This window comes from Homo sapiens, chromosome 12 (genome assembly GCF_000001405.40).
Source record: "Homo sapiens chromosome 12, GRCh38.p14 Primary Assembly".
In the NCBI taxonomy this organism is placed as follows: Eukaryota; Metazoa; Chordata; class Mammalia; order Primates; family Hominidae; genus Homo; species Homo sapiens.
This window is the reverse complement of record NC_000012.12, coordinates 11,802,218-11,823,152: the sequence shown is the minus strand read 5'-3', so window position 1 is coordinate 11,823,152 and position 20,935 is coordinate 11,802,218. Positions and strand designations below refer to the sequence as shown.

At 43.9% G+C, this 20,935-nt stretch overlaps 1 protein-coding gene across 12 annotated transcripts in view, besides 5 other annotated features; it reads right to left on the bottom strand.

Moving 5' to 3' along the window:
• Nucleotides 1–20,935, bottom strand: part of ETV6 (ETS variant transcription factor 6) — a 245,704-nt gene that overhangs the window by 72,225 nt on the left and 152,544 nt on the right. The gene's annotated exons all lie outside the window — the stretch shown is intronic.
• Nucleotides 355–404: an enhancer, noted in NCBI's record as "active region_5994". NCBI's record gives its function as "activates an Ori minimal core promoter by ATAC-STARR-seq in GM12878 lymphoblastoid cells {active_cell/tissue: GM12878}" and the evidence as "EXISTENCE:reporter gene assay evidence [ECO:0000049][PMID:35858748]".
• Nucleotides 8,464–8,758: a silencer, noted in NCBI's record as "tiled region #6497; K562 Repressive non-DNase unmatched - State 23:Low". NCBI's record gives its function as "represses a minimal TATA promoter and a strong SV40 promoter by Sharpr-MPRA in K562 cells {active_cell/tissue: K562}" and the evidence as "EXISTENCE:reporter gene assay evidence [ECO:0000049][PMID:27701403]".
• Nucleotides 9,984–10,278: a silencer, noted in NCBI's record as "tiled region #8395; K562 Repressive non-DNase unmatched - State 23:Low". NCBI's record gives its function as "represses a minimal TATA promoter and a strong SV40 promoter by Sharpr-MPRA in K562 cells {active_cell/tissue: K562}" and the evidence as "EXISTENCE:reporter gene assay evidence [ECO:0000049][PMID:27701403]".
• Nucleotides 9,984–10,807: a biological region, named in NCBI's record as "Sharpr-MPRA regulatory region 735".
• Nucleotides 10,145–10,807: an enhancer, noted in NCBI's record as "H3K27ac-H3K4me1 hESC enhancer chr12:11965280-11965942 (GRCh37/hg19 assembly coordinates)". NCBI's record gives its function as "activates a minimal SCP1, AML or CMV promoter by ChIP-STARR-seq in naive H9 embryonic stem cells {active_cell/tissue: H9 hESC(naive)}" and the evidence as "EXISTENCE:reporter gene assay evidence [ECO:0000049][PMID:30033119]".

Genomic DNA, 20,935 nt, shown 5'->3' with positions numbered 1-20,935 from the left:
CCCCACAAAACCAATGAGGTGTGTGAACGCCAGAGGCCCTACAGGTGCGGTTGGTCTTGCTGTCAGCTCTAACTTCGCTTTTCCTGCTTGTGGCAGCCTCCTTTCTCACTGGAGTCTTGTCTATTTGGAAGACTCGACTCATCCCTGACATGCCAGTCTCGTCGGAGGATGCTGTCATGTACTGATAATTTTTAAAAATGGCTGTTTTAATGCAGCCCTTGGAAACTTTGCAAGAAATGTATTGATTTGAAATACTCAAGCTGAATTATTGAGCTTTGGCAAAGGGAAATAAATCTTTCCCATTCCTCCATGCCTGTTGCCAAGCCCAGCTTCCAGGAAGCAATGGCTGTCCTTTCTGGAAATGAAGCAAAGCTCAAACATTCTATCACTTTCCCTTTACTTCCCCCACTCCCTCTTCTCTTCACTTGCAATTCACTGACAAAAGCACTTTACATTCATTGCTCATTTGCCTGAATAGGCATCTGAATTAGTAATGCCCAAATTAGTAATGCCTGGCTGAGGCAGCTTCCTAAATAATGAGGCCTGATCATTTTAACAGACCCGGAGGCCCGTGGAAAGCAAGCCCGCAGCAGGACATTAGGTTAAACACTCTTCCGGTTTTATAACCAAAATTTCCCCTACAGACCTGGATGTGAACAGTAAAGGGTATATGTTTACTGATGCTACAGATGAATAAGACCAGGAGCTAGAAATGGGGGAGAAAGGTAGAGAGAGTGTGCGGGAAAGGGGACGTATGCGGGAGAGTTCTAACGCACAAGGCAGGATTAACAAAAACTTCCTGACATCTGCTGTTTCTTTCATTTCAGGCTGAATGATCATCTCACCTGGCCATGTGCCAGGGGAATTCCCATCACTACCATCAAAACACAGTTGGGTCTAACTGCTGAGCACTCATTTTGTCCACCTCTCCGTTCACTCACCCACTCACCCATCCGTCTAACCTAGGAGATGCCCACTATGCCTCGCGTCCCGGATCAGGCGCAGGGCATGTCAAGGTGAATGAGACTGGATTTTGCGGTCTGGAAGGGAAGAAAGGAATGTAAAGAGACATTTACAAGTTAGTGCATTCGTGCACGGCCAGGGAAGACTTTCTCAACTGGATGGGCCAACAGCTTTCCAGTCAGAGGAACAGCGGATGCAAGGCCTGCACACATGAAAAGAGCACAACCGGTTTGGGGAAATGTTGAGTAGTTCAGTAGGATTAGGACGTGAGATATATGTGAGTGTGTGTTCAAATGGGGGTGAGGGTGGGAGGTGACAATGCATCTCCATGTTTGTTTTTAAGAGACAGAATCTCCCTCTGTTGCCCAGACAACAGAGTTGTTGTATGGTGGTGGGATCATGGTTCACTGCAGCCTCGAACTCCTGGCTTCAAGTGATCCCCTTGCCTCAGCCTTCCAAGTGGTTAGGACTACAAGTGAGCCACCATACCCGGCTAATCTAAAACACATTTTTTTTTTAAGAGATGGGGTCTTGCTATGTTGCCCAGGCTGGTCTCAAACTCTAGCCTCAAGCAATCCTCCTGCCTCAGACTCCCAAAGTGCTGGGATTACAGGCATGAGCCACTGTGCCCGGTCAACATCTCCATTTTGATGCTTAATAGGCACGTTAGGCTTAATGAGGCCAACCAACCTCCAGATGTCACTCATCTAAATCTGCTGTTCCCAATCTTTCCCATCACAGAGAAGGCAAACTCCATTCTTTCTGTGGCCAAGGCCCCACACCTTCCAGTCGCCCTTGTTTCTTCTTTCTTTCTTTATTTTTTTGAGACTGAGTCTCACTCTGTTGCCCAGGCTGGAGTGCAGTGGCGCCATCTCGGCTCACTGTAAGCTCCACCTCCCGGGTTCACACCATTTTCCCACCTCAGCCTCCCGAGAAGCTGGGACTACAGGTGCCCACCACCACACCCAGCTAATTTTTTTTTTGTATTTTTAGTAGAGATGGGGTTTTGCCGTGTTAGCCAGGATGGTCTGGATCTCCTGACTTTGTGATCCGCCCACCTCAGCCTCCCAAAGTGCTGGGATTACAGGCGTGAGCCACCGTGCCCAGCCCCTTGTTTCTTCTTTTACACCCCCTTCTGGTCCATTGGTAAGTGTTATTGGCTCTGCCTTCCAAATGTATCCAGCTCTGCCCACTTCCGCCACCTCTGCTGCTACTACATTAGTCCCAGCCACCATCCTCTCTTGCCTGGATCATTGTTACTGGTCCCTGACTGGTCTGCCAGCTTCCACTGTTCCTTCCCTGCATCTATCCTCAACAGACCTGCCAGAGATTGATTCAAATCACATCACTCCTCTGTTTGTAAGTTTCATCATGTCACTCTGCCCAGAATCCCCCAGTGGCTTCCTATCTCTCACTCACAGTTCATGCCAAGGTCTTTACAATGATCTTCTGGGCCCTATATGACCTGACCTGTCTGTACCCAGCTCCCACCATCCTTTCCTGCCATCATCCTTTCCCTCCTTCATTCTGCTCCAGCCACGCTGACCTCTCTGCTGTTCCTCAGACCTACCAGGAACTATTCCCACCTCAGGGCCTTTGGACTTGCTGTTCCTTCAGCTGATATTCTTCTCCTAGACATCCTCACTTCCTTCAAGTCCTCCCTGGACACTCCTTCTAACATCGCATATCTGTTCTCAGACTCCCCCGGTCTTCTTTCTTGCTTATTTTTGTTTTCTCTTAGCATTCATCCCTAATCTACCTAATAATTTTACTAATCATGCTGTTTCTTACTCATTTTCTTCACTAGCATGTGAACGGACCTTTGTTTGGATTCCTGCTATATCCCCAGTGTCTCAAGCAGCTTCTAGCCCATTTTCAGTACTCAATATAATATTTCTGAATGGATGAGAAGCTACGGCACATGATGGAGACAGTGCAGCATGGTGCTAAGGAGTGTGGGCCTGGAGTCAGGTTTCCTGGGTTTGAATCTTGGTTCTCCCACTTCCTAGCTGTGTGACCTTGTGCAAGGTGCCTTACCTTTCTGTGCCTCGATTTCCTCCACTGTAAAACTCGGATAGTAACAGGACCTACGTCAGGAATTATGAGCATTAAGTATGTTGACATATGTGTAAGGACCTTAGAACAGTGTGGGGTATGGATTGCGAACTTCATAAGTGTTAGCTATTATTAGGAAGGCCTTGGAAGGCCTTGTCTGCTGTACTAAGGAGTTCAGGCTTTATCCTAAGGCTACAAGGAGTCACTGAAGAATTTTAAACAAGGGCGTAACATAATCGGATATTGTTTTCAAAGGATCACTCCAGCTGCAGAGTAGAGAATGAATTAGAACAGGGCAAGACTGGTACAAGGCGGCCAGTCAGAGGCTGTTGCAGAAATGGAGATGACAGATATTGTTAGCCTGAACTAAAGCAGAAGGGATGGAGAAAGGATGGGCTGAAGATACCATGGGGTAGAATTGATGGAACTTAAGAGATTAATTCAATGTGGAGGAAGCAGTCAATGACAAAATCCAAGCTCCTGATTCCTGAAACTAGATGAATAGAGGGGCCCGCCCATCTCATCCCACAGAGGATGGATTGGCGGGGGATATATTCAGCTTTGTTGAATGTGAGGTAACTGTACAACATCTAGGTAAAGAGGCCCAGTAGGCAGTTGTACACATGCATCTGTTATTTAAGAGAAAGGCCCAGGCTAGAGATAAAAAATATTTGGAAGTCCCCATCGCACTGATGATCGTTGAAGCCGCTGGAGTAGGTGAGTTTTCCAGAGGAAAACATTTAGGCAGCAGGCAATTTAGAAAAGGTGTATTCTTAAAGGAGGGAACAGCAGGGGACAAGACCGGGGACAAGTCAGAGGACAGTGGTATCTTGCAAGCCAGGAGAGTTTCGGGCAGCAGATGGCAGATGGATTCGGCATCTGGGGACTGCAGCCAGGGCAGAGGGGCAGCAGGCGTAGAAACCAGATCACGGAGGGTTGAGGCGCTAATGGGAGGTGAGGAGGAGGACACCATGTGGAGAACTCTTTCCAGAACTTGGCTGTGAGGAACCAGATTTGTGGTAGTGAAGAGAGATGTGCAATCCAAGTGGGCTTCTTTGAAGATGGAATGGAACTAGGTGCAAATGAGAAAGAGGCTGACTGTGAAGGAGGGGAGAAGCCCACTGGGGAGGCTGAGGCAGAAGAGCTCAGGGGAAGGGACCTCTGTATACAGGAGAGGGACGCCTGTTCCACTGGTAAGATGGTGAATGCATGTGGGTAGGGTAGGCTGAGGGCCAGGAGGGAGGAGCAGGGTGACAGCTGATCCCTCTGCAGGAGGAGGTGAGGCTGCCTGGGAGCCTGCAGAGGAGGGGTGAGACTATAGCTTAGAAAAGGGCTGCAGGGGTAGGAGGGACTCCAGAACCAGGGACACCCCAAGGCTTGAGAAGCAGCATGAGTGCCAAGTGGAGGGAAGAGTACTGAGCAAAGTGAACACTAGCATTTCTACTGTCCTTGGAAAGCACAGATTTTAGGCTCAGAGATACCAAGCCCCATATCGTAACTGGTATAAAACCCAAACCACACCAAATATTCAGTGAGAACATACAGTGTGCCCAGAGAAATCTTCCTTAAGAACCATTCCCATTGCTTTTTTTTTTTTTTTTTTGAGACAGAGTCTCTCTCGCTCTGTCGCCCAGGCTGGGGTGCAGTGGCACAATCCCAGGCCATTGCAACCTCCGCCTCCCAGGTTCAAGCGATTGTTGTGCCTCAACTTCCTGCATAGCTGGGATTACACGCATGCATCACCACGCTCAGCTAATTTTTGTTACTTATGTATTTTTTAGTAGAGATGGGGTTTCGCCATGTTGGCCAGGCTGGTCTCAAACTCCTGGCCTCACGTGATCTGCTCACCTTGGCCTCCCAAAGTGCTGGGATTACAGGTGTGAGTCACTGTGCCCAGCCCCACTGCTCTTTTGAATAAAAACCTTCACAACTCCCCACCAAAGGCACATAAAATAAAACCCCACTCTTCAAAGAGGCATTCAACTTCCTTATCACCTGGCCCCCAAGGCCCTTTCCCAGACCTTTTTTCCCAGCACTTTCCATACCTGCCTTCATCCAGATACACACCTCCCAACACCCCTCCCTGTCACCCCGCAGGCCTTTGCTCACACACTTGCTTCGTCTGTCTGCAACATGCTTTTCCTCCCTCCTTGCATGTGGAAACTCACATCTCCTTTAAGGCCTGAAACTGAAGTCACTCCTTCCAGGAAGCCTCCTTCTAAAAATGTCTTTCCTCCTGTCTTTTTGCTTCCAGAGAACTTTGAAGATGGATATGGAATTTCTAGGACGCCGTGTTAAATTAGAGTTATGAGTGCATATGTCTTTTTTCCCGCTAGGCAGTGAGCTCTGAATGCAAGCCTACTTATGTTTGACTTTGTACTCCCCACAGAACCCATTCCGGTAAGAGTTCATGCTCTTGAGCTGGCATGGGGGCTGGCCAGGCCTCGGGGTGCTGTGTGTGGCCAGGGAAAAAAAGATGACTTTTTGAAAAGCAACAATGATTTGTGCATTAAAATGGAACGTACCCTACAAGTACTGTCTTTCTGGCTAGAAAAGTACATGATTAGTTAAGTAGACACTGAGATCATTAGTGGAAATTACTCCATAGAGTTATAAGTTCAGAGCATAAGACATTTTTTACCCTGATCAACTGATTTATTTTTTGGTTCTTATTTCTTCCTAAATTTTCCCTGTTTGGCATCTTAGAGACATTTTTCTTCCTGCTGTGCCTCATCATTAACTCCTATTTCTTGAGCTTTCATAATACAGTACAGCAGAGGCTGTAGGAACATCACACAAACAGGATCTCTTTTGCTTCTACGAGAATAAGTATTGAAAGAATATTAACTTCTGGCATCTAAGGGCAAAAGCATAAATTGAGATTATACTATATACCTGGTGCGTTGGAGACACTTTCAATTTCATCTTCATAACAGCTCTGGAGGGTGGATATTACTGTTCCCATTTTCCAGATGAGAAAATGCAGACATGGTCAGAGGAGTTAACTAACTTGGGAAGATCCTGAGTCCAGTGAGTGCTGGAACCGGGGTTTGCAGACCAGCCTGTTTGACTCTAAAGTTCGGGTTCCCTCACCATGTTCACAGCACATCACCAGAGGCTTCTAAGGGCTGGAAAGCATTGCTTCCTGCCCCCTATCCAGCCCACTATGGTAATGGCATGTGCTATCCCTGGCTTGGGACTGTGAACATCCTAACTGGGCTGTGAGTCTAATGGAAGGATGGAAAGAAGCTGGTATCTGGTCAAAGTTTCCATTTGCTATAGGAAAATATTGAAGGAAAGTGGGAGTTTATTTCAAATTGTCAACTGCAGTGGGGACCCTTCAGCCACCTCCCTCCCACCCTTTCTAACTCAGCTCTCTGTTGTGTGGTGCCCCCACCATCCTTTGGCTTAGCTGGAGAAAGATGGCTGACTGCAGGCACGTTGAGGGAAAGGGAGCCAGGCAGATTTCCAATTCCAAGTTCCTTAGTCTCTGTATACATTAAGGTCTCTCCTCTATCCAATAAAAACTAAAAGGATCAGAGAGCTGAGAACCAAGAACGAGGCAATGATCTTTTAAAAACATAAAGCTGGCCGGGCGCAGTGGCTCACACCTGTAATCCCAGCACTTTGGGAGGCCGAGGCGGGTGGATCACGAGGTCAGGAGATCGAGACCATCCTGGCTAACATGGTGAAACCCCCGTCTCTACCAAAAATACAAAAAATTTAGCCAGGCATGGTGGCGAGCACCTGTAGTCCCAGCTACTTGGGAGGCTGAGGGAGGAGAATGGTGTGAACCTGGGAGACAGAGGTTGCAGTGAGCCGAGACGGCGCCATTGCACTCCAGCCTGGGTGACAGCGAGACTCCGTCTCAAACAACAACAACAACAAAAACATAAAGCTAACTGTTTTTGCTTAAATATTTTCAGAGGCTTCCCAGGGCCTCCTAAACTCCTGGTTAACTTCCAACCTCACCCTCTAGCAGACCTGGCTCCAGCCACACTGACATCTGACAGTTCTCAGAGGCACTGCATTCTCTGGCCTTCGCATGTGCCACCCCTTCTGCCTGGGATGAGAGACTTGGCAGACTGTTTTCTGCCTGGTGAACCACATACACTTCAAAATATACGGATATTCCTTACGGGTCACTTTCAGCATGAAGTCATCTATAACCTGCCATCCCAGGAAGGATTAAACGCACCATCTTCAGAGGTGTTGAACAGCAAAAAAGCAGAAACTGTAATAGAACTGCCTTCTGTATCATTTTTGAGTTTTAAACCCTTCAATAACTGCAGGTTCCAAGAGTTTCTACTATACCCAGCATACTGTCCCTCTGCCCGTCAAACGAATTTATTTGTTGTGTCCTGTTCACAAATATCCCCAAGCCTAAGTCATCACACACATCAAGCTCTTCACCTGGATGTCTTTCTGCCCTGAGCCAAATTAGGAGAAATGGCTGGCAATACTCCACAGTTTGCAAAGTGCTCTCAAACACATCATCTCATTTGGCCTTCACAGTCACCAGGTGAGTCAGCTGCATGGGCATTATCATTCTTACTTCCAGCTGAGCCACCTGAAGGGAACGGGGCTAAATGGCTTGATCAAAGTGGCCCAAGTAGACGGAGGGCCAGGATCAGAATAGAGATCTTCTGGCTGTCATTCCAGGGCTTGTCTAATGCACCAACTTGCAAATCAGAGGTGGCACCACGGGTCGGTGTCCTCCAAGAGGACTCTCCATGTGGACCAGTTGCCTTGCAGGGTGATCCTATTCTATTAGGGTATGATGGGCATCAGGAAATCATGGAGAAGGAATTAGAACCTTGTGTTTTAGTCCTGGCTTTGCCCCCTGCCTTGCTTGGATAGGACTCAGCTAAGGCACTCACTGTCTTTGAATTTGTTTTCTCATCTGGAAAGTGGGAGTAACTTCTTTTTTTTAATCATGCCCATCTTGCTGTGAGATCAAATGAGGCCATGGATGTGAAGGTTCTTCGACATGACTATAAAACATCACTAAGTCCTAAGTAGGTATCCTATTCTGGGGCGTGATTTGACTTCTCCTGGGAAGTATGTGAACTGATGAACCACAGGAAAGTGGGGTGCATCATTTTCTGTTGTGTTAGGGCCTCTGTTTCCTTCTCCTTTAGGCTTTTGCTGGGACTGAGCTCTGGGTTTTCTGCGCTGAAGCTGCAGAAGCAGCCCCCAGACCCTGCCCCTGTACCACAGCCACCTTGGATGGCAGTTCACATCACACTCCCCGGGAAGGGCTGGATGCAAGGCAGAAGCAGGCGAAAAGAGGGGCATTCTGCTCACATTTCTTTCCCTGCAGTACATTTTTGTCTTAACCCCTGCATTCCTAGACATCTGTACCCTTTTAATTTCTTGGTGAAAGCCTCCTCGTTGTATACTGCATTTATGTTTCTGCATAACATTTCCTTAAAGGAAAATGATGCAAACCACATCTCACAAAGCCTGAGAGAGGGCTGCAGAGCTTGACAAGGAGAGCCATCGATCTGAGCCCTTTATGATGTGGATGCTAAGCTATGCCAGCCTCTGAATGCTGGTGTCAGACCCAGGCATGACTCACAACACACACAGCTGGGCTAAGATCATAGAGAAATAGTGGAGAGTGTTTGGGGTGATCTGTCTCACACTCACTTTGGTGAACACATTTATGATCTTTCATGTCTGCAATACTTACTCTGAAAAAAAAATTTGTTTACCTGTCAGGTTTGAGATCGAATGATCTGTAGTTTGAACCCAAAGTATTGAAAAAAAAAATTTTTTTTTACAAGGTTTTGTTTACAAAGCCAAGAAAAGATAAAACATTTTAAGTTGGTACTGCCCTCGAAAATTATGGTGGATGTACACTTGGACTTTCTAAAACAAGATCTGAATAAAATAAGACACTTAACATGAAAAACTCTATTTAACACAATTTAATCTTTCTTTGATTCCTGAGTGGGTAATTCGGCATTTTACAGAACTTTGGGGTCACCATTATAAATATCAGCTGTCACTGTACTGGTAAAATATAAAATGTACCAGTTAATAATAGCTTTGCAATTCACAGAAAATCAGATAATGGAGGTTTTACCGTAACTGGAATTATGATGTTAAAAGAATCAATGCACTTTTCCAAAAGAGCCTAAATCATTTCTAGGAAATAATTCATGCCTTGTAAGAATTTACAAGGAAGTGCTTGATACTCCCTGGAAAAAATCAGTAGTTCTTCATTATTAAGTTTTCATTTTGCATGTGTACTTCATTGTATTATTATTGTGGTTAATCCTATGTCCACGGCCCTGGCCTCGAACCACACAGGCTCTTCTTAAATAAAGTGGAAGATTTCTTTGGCCTGTCCTAAATCCAAGGAACAATATGCAACTCTGCAAGTGCATATCACAAGAAGTCTTTTCAAGGTCGTGCTCTTGGTGACCCTTTGTTTAAAGGAATTTGGGCTGGATTTATAGTTGTCAGTTCTGAAGAATCAGGAAAGGGCAGGCCGTGAAGGGGTGGGGGAGGAAAAGAGAAGGAAAGAGGGAGGGAGGGAGGGAGGCAGAGGCTCATACCACACAGTACTGAGCCACCAAGGACAGAGTTTCTACACTGTTTCATTAGAACATGAAATCTACTCTGTTGTCTATGCGTCTGCTGTGAGCTGAAAAGAAGTCAGTTTACTTCCTCAGCATCTGGGGTCCCATAATTCTGAGTCGTGGCCACATTACCTCTGCTACTGAAAAGGCAAGAGCTGGGTTGCTCAGACAGCCCCGCAGTTCACACTGCCTGTGCTGCAGGCAGGAAGGTTTCCACCCAAAGGCCGGCAGAGGGAGGGTGTGCCCCTGGCGGGTGGGCTGGGGCTGGGGTGAGGAGGGGCAGGGAAGAAAGGGAAGGAGACTTCCTTTTTAATGCTGGTTCTCTTCTCAGTCCAATCCAAGTCTCTCCATGGAAGGATGGAAAATTCTGATTTCCTGTATCTCTTTGAAAACAATGAAATCCACTCTCCCCGGAGGGCAGGTTTGCTGAAGCTGTTGGCTCCGGCTGGCATGCACAGCCTTGGCTAAGTAGCCACACAGCACAGCATAGACATCCCGGCGAACTGAAGGCTCACAACCAGGAGCCTACCCCATGCACTCCCTCCCCAGCACCGGGTCACCGCAGCCAGGGTTCCTGGGGCCTCCGGAATGTCAGGGAGCCCCTCACTGCCTCTTGGGTGGCAGGAAATCACTAAGCTATGAGGATAAAGACCAGCCGGGGTCTCCATGCAGCTTTAGGGCTGATTTCTATTTCCCCTTGTGGTGGTGAAGCAGATTTCAAACTGCACTCAATACAGTCCCCAGCACAGGAGAAATGAAACCCTTTAAATCTTAGGCCTTCACGCAGGAGCCTCCCCTGCAGCTTTCAAACTCACAGAAGCCTTTTGTTACAGTCCTAGGAATGTGTACTTAGCAGAGAAAGCGTGGCTTTGTGGTGGCTGTGAAAGAATACTGAGGGCGGTGGCGGGGGAAGAAGAGACCCGCCTCTGGTAAGATCCTCTCCCGAAGTCTGATGGCAGCCAGTCTCAGAAAACAAGAAAATCCACCCAAGGACAAGGTACTCAACCACCCCCAGGGCTCTCCCAAAAGTGTCGGAGTGAGAGGAAGGAAAGCACTAAATATATTTGAGTATGTGAGTGAGCACAGGGGGAGGAGTGAGCTAAAGGGGTTTTACTGCATTGGTTGCTATAATTTGTGGGGGGTTCCTAAGAATTATTCCCATATCCTTCCCCAAGGGAACCTGTGAGGAAACTGGCAGCTGCTTATTGTGATCTAGTGTAACAGCACATAGTACAGCCAAAATACTGCAAGGAATTAGAGGCGGAAGGGGCCTCAGGACTGATCTTCACCAGTTTTCTGGTAAGATTTGTGCAAAACTCCAGTGAAGAGTGTGCACGCGGTCAATTTCTCCAAAATGGGAGAATATCTACAATAATGAGCAGAAACATAATAAAAAGCATTCTGAACAAGTGCAAGAAGACTCCTAATAAATATCTTATTACATGTAGCATATTTTACAGTGTTCTATAAATTTTAGGTAGACTAAAACCAAGGCTTAAAATGAGTTAGCATTGGGACATTTTTACTGCCACATGTGTCTGATTGCAAAGCGATGCTTTTAGACAGGGTTAGCCTTCTGCAAAATTCTTAAGTAGGTGATTCCATCTCAGCTTTCCAGTTCTCTGCCCTTTTCCCTTCTAGGTGTCATAAAATAGCAGGACCAGCACAGGTTTTGGACCAGGCAGCTCTGGTTTAAATCCCAGCTCTGTTCCTGACTGGCCTAGGACCTGGTCAGGTCATCTAGTCTCCTGTCTTCATTTCCTCATCTGTAGAAACTGGATCCCAACTCACAGGGATTGTTGTGAAAATTTTACGTGTGAAAAGTGCTGGACCTTAGCAGGCACTCAGAAATGTTATTTTGCTTCGTTCCAACCAAATCATCCCCTTTCCCATCCCTTCATGATCTACACATCCCTGCTTCATCTCACCACCACCATCATCACTAAAACAAGCATCCAGGAAGGGATTTAAAAATGCTAAATGCTCTGGTGAAATGACCACCAAGAGCTTAATGAGCCATCTCCCTGGTCTACATGTCTTTCTGCAAAAATCCATGCTCAAGGAGTAAACTGCTAATGGTAGAAATCCAGGCACCCAAGGAAGGGCTGGGAAGTGTTTCGAAGGCAGCGAGTCCTTTCTGGAAATCTGAAACCAGACAGATAAGCAGATAGCTGCAGTGGCCAGGTCACCATAGCATATTCCAAAAGACACTGCTTCTTGGAATTATCACTGGCCTTTGCTAAACAGCCTTTCCTTTTCCTATTGATTGCCAAGCTTTATATAAACAGAGCATTTCTCATTTTTAGTTAGATTCGAAATGAGTCCGGTAATCTAGATTCCACTAGAGCATGTGGTAAAAGCAGAAAGACTGGTTGAGGCTGAGCTCCTGTTATAAGCAATATCCGGGCAATGATTTGAGTTAGAGAAGACAAAAAACACAGGGGGGAAAAACCCTGAAAAGAATCAATTATTTGCTGTACCACCACTCTGAAAGTGGTTTGAGGCTTTGTTTTAATAAATGTCATGTATTTAAGAGTTTAAAGAACTTTCTGGACATTGGAGGTGTTTAAAAATTGGAATTGGAGGTGTTTAAAAAAAAAAGAGCTGCCTGTGAAACAGTGAGATTCCCATTGTTAGAGGTATCCAAGGGAAGGTGGGTGGCCATCGCTCAGTGATGTCATATTTGGAATAGAGGCAGAGTGTGAGGCTGGAATAGGTGACCTGGATCATCCATCTAACCCCAAGTCCTACCATAAATCTATGAAAGCAGCAGCAAACAAAGAGATAATAATAGTTTCAAATCTTTCAGAAGGTGTAGTTATTATTAAAGATGGACCCAATCCACCTTTCCAGGTTAATCCTAATCAGGAACAGAGAGGAAAATCTGACCTGTGGACTTCACTAATTGTGATAGTCAGACATCTTTTAGATTGGATTTTGCCAACTTGAATCTCAAGAGACCACAGGTATTTTTTATTTCAGTGTGGTTTCTCTTGCATTAATTCACATTTATACTTTTTGCCCTCCATGATATTTAGGAACCATGGATCATGGCACACAGATGCTTGGTTCTGAGCTGAGGGGCCATTTGTACTCACACATGCACCCTCCATACCTAAGCCACTCCCAGCTCTTTCAAGGTCTTCGAAATGCCTTTGGATTGCTGGTCTTTTGTGCTCTTTCTGAAATAAGGAAGTGCTTTTCTTCACGGGTTTACATTCAAGGGCTTTCTACACGAGCTCTCAAGTTGGACTTCTACTTGGACTTGAAAGTCCATCTAGAAAGCCCATGAACATAAACCCACTTCCAACCCCTCTGTATATTCTCACTCTAGGACACGACAGGGATTAGGAGAAAAGTGGGTTGGAATTCACTACTCATACTCAGGACCAGCTCACAGAGGTCTCAAGTAAAATGCTCCATTCCAGCCAGGTGCGGTGGCTCACGCCTGTAATCCCAGCACTTTGGGAGGTTGAAGTGGGCGGATCACGAGGTCAGGAGACTGAGACCATCCTAGCTAACATGGTGAAACCCTGTCTCTCCTAAAAATACAAAAAATTAGCTGGGCGTTGTGGTGCGTGCCTGTAGTCCCAGCTACTCAGGAGGCTGAGGCAGGAGAATTGCTTGAATCTGGGAGGCGGAAGTTGCAGTGAGCTGAGATCACGCCACTGCACTCCAGCCTGGGTGACACAGCAAGACTCTCTCCAAAAAAAAAAAAAAAAAAAAAAAAAAGCAGAAGCTCTATTCCCTCCCCATTTTCCAAGCAATAGCCAAGATGAAGGTTTTATGGTGGGCAGGGAAACTGGGAGGGTAGATGTGCATATGGTTTAATTATGGATTAAGGGACACCTGCAGACATTGATCCCTCTCAGCCGAAAAAAGGATGCAGCAGGAAGTAAACTACGAATAAAAAGCTGGTTTTACTGAATCAAGTATGTATCTCCTGGCTTCCCCATTTTGGTAAAATAATTTAAAACCACACATGGAAGAAGACAAATATACAGTTCGAGGTAATTATAAACATGTACCTTAAGTCAAGACACATTAATGTTTTGCAAATGATCCATTATTCTGGACTATCCATATCATTCTCCTCTTTATTAGAAGAGGAAATCAATAGCTGATAATACGTTCCTTTAGCTATGGCTAAATAGATCTTGAACTTCATTCCTATTTTACTTACTTTCATTCCTCCCTTCTACCATCTCCTTTTTTCCTCTTGTCTTCAGTTCTCTTGTTTTTCCTATATTCATTTTGCATCCTTCCTTCTCGTTTTATTGTACATTTTTTCTTCCTCCTTCTTATCCTTTTTTTCCTCTGTTTCATCATGCCATTATCTATGACCTCTCTTTTGCTCACTTCCTATCTTTTTTTTTTTTGACACAGGGTCTCCCTGTGTCACCCAGGCTGGAGTGCAGTGGCACGATCACGGCTCACCACAGCCTTAACCTCCTGAGCGCAGGTCATTCTCCCACCTCATGCCTCCCAAGAAGCTGGGACTACAGGCGCGTGCCATCACACCCAGCTAATTTTTGTATTTTTTTGTAGAGATAGGGTTTTGCCGTGTTGGCCAGGCTCGTCTCCAACTCCTGACCTCAAGTGATCTGCCCACCTTGGCCTCCCAAAGTGCTGGGATTACAGGTGTGAGCCACCACACATGGCCCTTGTCATTTTTAAGTAGGTCATCCTGTCATCAATGAATTCCCTGAAATCCCATTTTTCTATTCATCCTTTCTCTTCCAAGCACTCCTTTGTCAGAGGTACCTCACTTTCTTCTCTTAGTTTCTCTCAGTACTTTATAGCCTGCTATTACCCTCTTTGGTGTAGCTTTACTTTGCTTTCCAGTACAGTCATTCCTCTGCATACACAAGGGATTGGCTCCAGGACCCCCCGCCCAGATACCAAAATCCAAGGATGCTCAAATCCCTTATATAAAATGGTGTATATTTGCATATAACCTATGTGCATCCTCCTGTATATTTTAAATCATCTCTAGATTACTTGTAACGAATACAATGTAAATGCTATCTAAATAGTTGTTATATGCTATTCTGAAAGTCTGTATTTTTTTATTGTTGCATTTGTGGGTTTTTTTTTTTTGTTTTTTGTTTTTCTGAATATTTTCTATCTGTGGCTGGATGGAATCACGGATGTGCAACTCACGGATATGAAGGGCAGACTGTATACCTTGTCAGGTACTTTTTTCTTTTTATTGTATCCCATGGGGGAAATGGATGGTAGATTGGTGGAGGTGGCTAGAATTGTAAAGAAAAATATGAAATTCACATGAAGGCTGGAGTTACTCACATGACAACAACAGCTTATGGGGCTCAATTCTACTGCCCTTGCGTCTGTCACACAGTTGAGGTTTTGGAATGAACTACGTATGCCATCCTTGTTATCAAATATTTGAGAACAATTAGCTTTGCTGGCAAAAAATGACTTACATTGAGAATTCTAGGAATGCCTTGTAGGTATTCTTTTTCAAGTGAATTTTATGTTTCTTTTTTATGATTTCATTGATTTATGGGTGGATGTATTGCTGATGATCATTGGGGAAGGGGTCTGCAGGGAATTAAAGACAAAAACGTATGCTCCTACTACTTTAGAAGACTATGCTAAATGCAAAAAACATAGGTCAAGCAACTACTGGTTTCTCAAGTTCAAGAAGTAATTCCTATTGTTACCAGGAGAAAGGGTGATTTGATACCACCTACATTCTTTTTTCCAAAAAGGAAATAAAATTTGTCAGTCCAATCAAACATCCATTGCTCTAGTAACAGACACCTCTAGACAGGTGCATCCTGTTTCATTGAAAAGGTGGTTCATTTACATATAACCACTTAGGTAAAGCCTCCCTCTGTAAATAGGACATGTTGCTGCCTGCCAGTAAGTAAAGACTAAAGTGGGTTATTTGGTTAGCCTTTACATATTATTTTATTATGAGACTGCCCTTTCCCTTCTTACCCACTTTTCAACAGGCTCAGAAATGAAAAAAACTTTCATTTTTGAGTTTTCACAGCACAGTTGCAAACTCAGCCTTGAGCCTCACCTGCTCACTGTCTAATGAGCCCTGAAAACTTAAAGATTCCTGCCCAGGGTTACCGTTTTCTGACCGTGCATGTATTCATTTAAAGTCAATGTGGATCTGTCTGTACTTTAATTCACTCTACCAATTTTCTCTACCAGTACACATTTCTGCATGTGTTAAATAAAAAGTGATGTTGGCGTATACTACCAAAATCCACCACTATTTAGTGTGCATTTATTCTCTTTGAAATTCTTTAAGATCAAAATTAAGTAGACGCCTGCTTCTGCTACAATTTGCAATTGAAAGTGGTTTCTACTGAGCTGTAAAAAGCAATGTAGTTACATCCGATCACAATCAATCTCATGCAAACCACACGGTCTTTTCATGGATAACTTTACAGCCTAAACATACTTGGCAAACTGACGTTTGTGACCCTCAGAATCTGTCTGCATCTTTAAAACCTAGAATGAATTCTAGAAACCCAAGATAATCTTCAATGTGACAATTCTGTTTGACTGATTTAATCGGTGGAACACCATCAGTGAGACCTATTAAAAGTCACTGCTTTCTTTTAAGAAATGCTTAGCTTGTTCGGGATTGTCAGATCATGAGTTCATGCTGATTTCCAGGCTCAAAGGGTGAGGTCACAGAGTTGAGCTCCGCAGGATTTTTGGTGCTGTCCGGCAAAGGTGTGAGGACTACCATGTACGTAAGTGCCAATAAATGCAGGGGCCTGAAACTTGCTATTTATCCCTACACAGAACATGCAACTCTCTGGCCAGTTCTTTAAAATAATAAATATGTTACAATCAAACAGAAATGTATGAATGCTTGAAAGTTCCTTGAGGACGAGCCGCCTCTTTAATATTTTATTGTATATTATCTACAGTGTCTAGCACATTGCTAGACACATTGTCAGGAAACTTTTTAAACATGAAAACCTAAAAATGGCAGATTCATCATCAATGCATTTACCTCCATGTGTAACTAACAAAGGTGTGTAGAACTTTCCATCTTTCCTTGGTGCCTGCTTCCTCTTTAGTTCCCAACTACCAACTGATAAGCTTCTCAGTTAGCCTTCATGCAGCATTCATTTTGCAGTATAGCTAGAACACTATCAAATGCTTATCCTTTAACCTCTAATTGCCTGTTACTAGACTTTTGGGCCCAGAGCAATGCCTCTCAATTGTTTCTTACTTTGTACCTTTCACTCAGTTGATCACAAAGATTATTCCTCAACCTGACATCTTGATTATACTGTTCTTCTCCTAGGGGGCTACAGTGACTTGTCACTGTCCAACAAGGATGGCATACGTAGTTCATTCCAAAACCTCAACTGTGTGACAGACGCAAGAGCAATAGAATTGGGCCCCATAAGCTGTTGTTGTCATATGAGTAACTCCAGCCTTCATGTGAATTTCATATTTTTCTTTACAATTCTAGCCACCTCCACCAATCTACCATCCATTTCCCCCATGGGATACAATAAAAAGAAAAAAGTACCTGACAAGGTATACAGTCTGCCCTTCATATCCATGAGTTGAGCAAACAAATATGACAGTCTTAAGTCAATATAGTGTGTATATGATGTCATGCAATGCACACAGCTCTGTGAGGTAGATATTACTGTGCCTGGTTTATAAAAGAACCCAGAGTTTACGAGGTCCAAGGTTACTGAGGTAACACAGACACGGATGCTTGTTGCTCTTAGGATAAAGATCAAAATCCTTAACGTGACTGTCTTGTTCTACCTCACCATCTGCAATCCTCACCAAAGCAATGTGTCACTCTGCTTTTCCACAGCAAATTCAATGAATGCCAGTTGGGCTGGGCTTTCCATTCCCTGTAGAACAAATCCTCTTCCAGTCTCAGGGCCTTCACAGGCTCTGTTCCCCTCCCCAGAAATAATCCTACCTTCTTCTTTGCCCAATTAACTCCTACTTAGCTTTCAAGTCTCCTCTTAAATGTATGCGACACACCAGACCAGATTTCTGTATTTTATGCTTTCAAAGCATCCTGTACTGCTACATCAATGCTTTTACCTCCACATGTAACTACATTGATGAGACATATCTTGTCTATCCCTGCTCCTGTCTGACGTCCCACTAAACCAGATAGAGGAATAAAAAAGGTACAAACCCACAAGACAACAGAATGGGAGAGGAAACAATGGCAGTTGAGGGAGGTGCACAAAATTTTGGAAGCTGGAACAGACGGACAATTGGTATCTGACTCAGCTGAGCAGAAAATCTTAACTCAATCTGCCTGCAGGGGGAGATACCAATAAACAAACTCGTTTTCCTACCAGAACTTCATAAAACCTCAGAAACTGGGGGTTCCAAGTGCCTCTGAAGGCAGGCAGGGAACAGAGAAGACTAATAAAGCATCTGTGGCATGGCTGTATTCCACCCTCCCCCAGCCCAGCAACCTGCACCTCCTTGCAGATGAAAGGACATTTCCCTTGCTGGAATCAGGATGAATCTGAGAACGCCAAGTTCAGGAGGGAGCAAGGGTGAGCAGCTCTGGAATATAGGGGAACTCAGTGGAAATCTTCATGGTAAAAGCTCAAGTGCCATCATATATTGACTCTTTCTAAGGAGGAGCCCACAGGATTTCTTTTTGGACAAACTTGCCTTCCCAAAAGAAAAGACTCTGGAGTCTCCCATGAGACAGCCAGGCCCATCCAATTACCCTACAGGTGGACCCACTGGCATCATACCCCAGCTGTGCACAAGAATGGCCATTTTGAATAGATACCTAAGGGTCACCATCCAGTGTTTTAAAAAATTACATGTCAGGTGGTGAAAATTGCCAAGAAGAAAAATAGTGCAGGATAAAGGTGATGGAGAGTGAAGGAAGGTGTCGTTTGGATAATGCTGTTGGGGAAGCTTCTCTAAGGAGGTGATATTTAAGCAGAGGCCTGGATAAGGTGAGGGACTCTAACATGAGAGTATCTGGAGAAACAGCTTCATAGGCAGAAGGGCAGCAAGTGCAAATGCCCTGAGGTAGAACATAAACTTGTGTGTTCCAAGAATAGCAAAAAGATCAGGGTGGCTGAAGAGGAACTAGCAGAACACAAGGTGATGGAGGATGAGGGTGGAGAGGTTGACGAGATTTACAAATTTCAGATCACACAGGGCCTGGCAGTTCATACTGAGAACTCAGAAGGTTTCCAAATGAAACTGGAAGCCAGTGGAGGTTTTGGCACAGGGAAGTAACAGTCTGATTTATCTTACAACAGATTACTCTGGATGCTGTGTGGGCAATGTGCTCTCTGGCTAGTGTGAATTCCTTGGTAGACACTTATCTCCCCTATTAAACTGTAAGCAACATGAAGGCAGGGGTCATATCTGTTTTGGTCACTGATATATCCCAGCACTTCAGAGTATGCAGTAAACACCTGATAAAAATCTTTTGAAAGAATTTACAGAATAGCAAAAAAATAGAAAAAACTAGAAATCTGTCAAAGAGTCCAAAGTTCCTGATCCTTCTATTACCCTAAGTAGGCTTTCAAAAAAGATAATGATATTTAGAATACCAAAATATTTTAATACAACTTTGATGAAGATCAGAAGATGATGATGATGATGATGATACTAATAATATTTTTGCTCAGTCTACATATTATGACATCAATATGGTCTATTTTAGAGCAAGTATGCATTGAAAATAGCAATTATTCTTATGAAGACAAAAGGTGCTGACTAGTGTTTATAATGACAGACTTTCTGTATTTATAACATATTCCAGTTAATCTCATTCTATAATACAAAATCAAATGTAAAACCAGGAGTAATCATGTTGCAAAAAATTTAAACAGGCCCTATTCTTATTCTTCCTCTGAGTGCCCCAAACTAAATCACCATTTTGGATTTTTATATTTAAAGCTTATCCCAAGGCATTTTTACAAAATATTTTTCCTATCCTTTATAAGTACATTACATGCAGCATCACTCACCACTGATAATTCTCCATTTTGAAGATCAATACTCAATCACGAGGACAGCTTATTCTTACAAATACATTGAGAAAATTCACATAATTTTTAACATGTTCTAGAAGCAACTCAAATCCAATAAGCAGCTCCCTTTTGACTTTTAGGATTCATTCAACAAATATGTATGGAAACTGTGACAAAAAATTATAAAATATTATGGTCTCTATTTTCTAGGAGTCTAACAAGGGAGACTTCTCAGCGGACAAATTTCTTCCTAGTTAATTATAATTTCTTTCATTCTTCCCTAATTTGCAATGTGGACCAGGAATATAATCTCAAAAGTCCACCTAAAGACATGTCCAGTTCACTGATTTATTCTGATGCTGAAATGATTATTTACTATAAACAAAGCAAAGAGCACCAAGCTGGGGCAGAAATTTGGAGAGTTGGGACTGACAGAGGCCTCCATTAAATCCAGTCATTTTAGAAAGTAAGGCTAAAATAACCCCCAATCCAGGAAAACAACTATGAAGAAACTTGTGGAGAAATGGACTTTGGTAAATCAAGCACTTACAAGACGTTCTTGATGTGGCAGCTGTCTACCTATATGAAATAGATTGAAGACAAGGAGTCAATTATTTTTATGACACAATAAGGACAGGGCTTACAATAATGGGCTTATAGGTCACTAGAGAAAATTCAGGCTAATTAGGAGACCAAACTTTCAAACTAAGAGCTGGGCCAGGAGAGCTGCTATGGGAACCTACGGAATTCCCAACATTGGAGACATTCAAAGCTCAGTTCAATCCAAGGCATGATTTAGGAGTAATTATCTTTGCTGGAGTGCTGACAAAGAACAAAATAATCCACCAGAAGTCCAAACTAGGTGAAATGATTGTAAAGTCTATTTAAGAATTTTGTGCTATGGCTTAAGATTGGTCGTCCTGCAAGACATACCCCAGATGATTTACACTTGGTGCTAAGTGACCCACACAGCATACAGTGTCAACCATGTCTGACAATGACAAGGATTAATTAGAATTCCAAGTTCATAAGTGAGAGCTGAAAATAAATGTTTGCAGTGCTCATAAACCCTTAACACTGGAGAGTAATATAACAGGAATATGTTTTAAAATGATGTATGAAGAACCAGACCCAGAACTTTGAGATGGTTTCCAAAGCCCTATTAATGCATCCAGCTAGTATGTCGCTGCAGGTACCATTCTCGTTATAAATCTAAGCAGTCCATTTAACCATGAGGGCTGGTCTTCTAGAATAAGATCAGCTGATGAGAGCCATAGCTTTTAGCTCCTGGAAAATACCATCCCAGGGAGATTCCTGAGGCTTCTGTACGCTTGG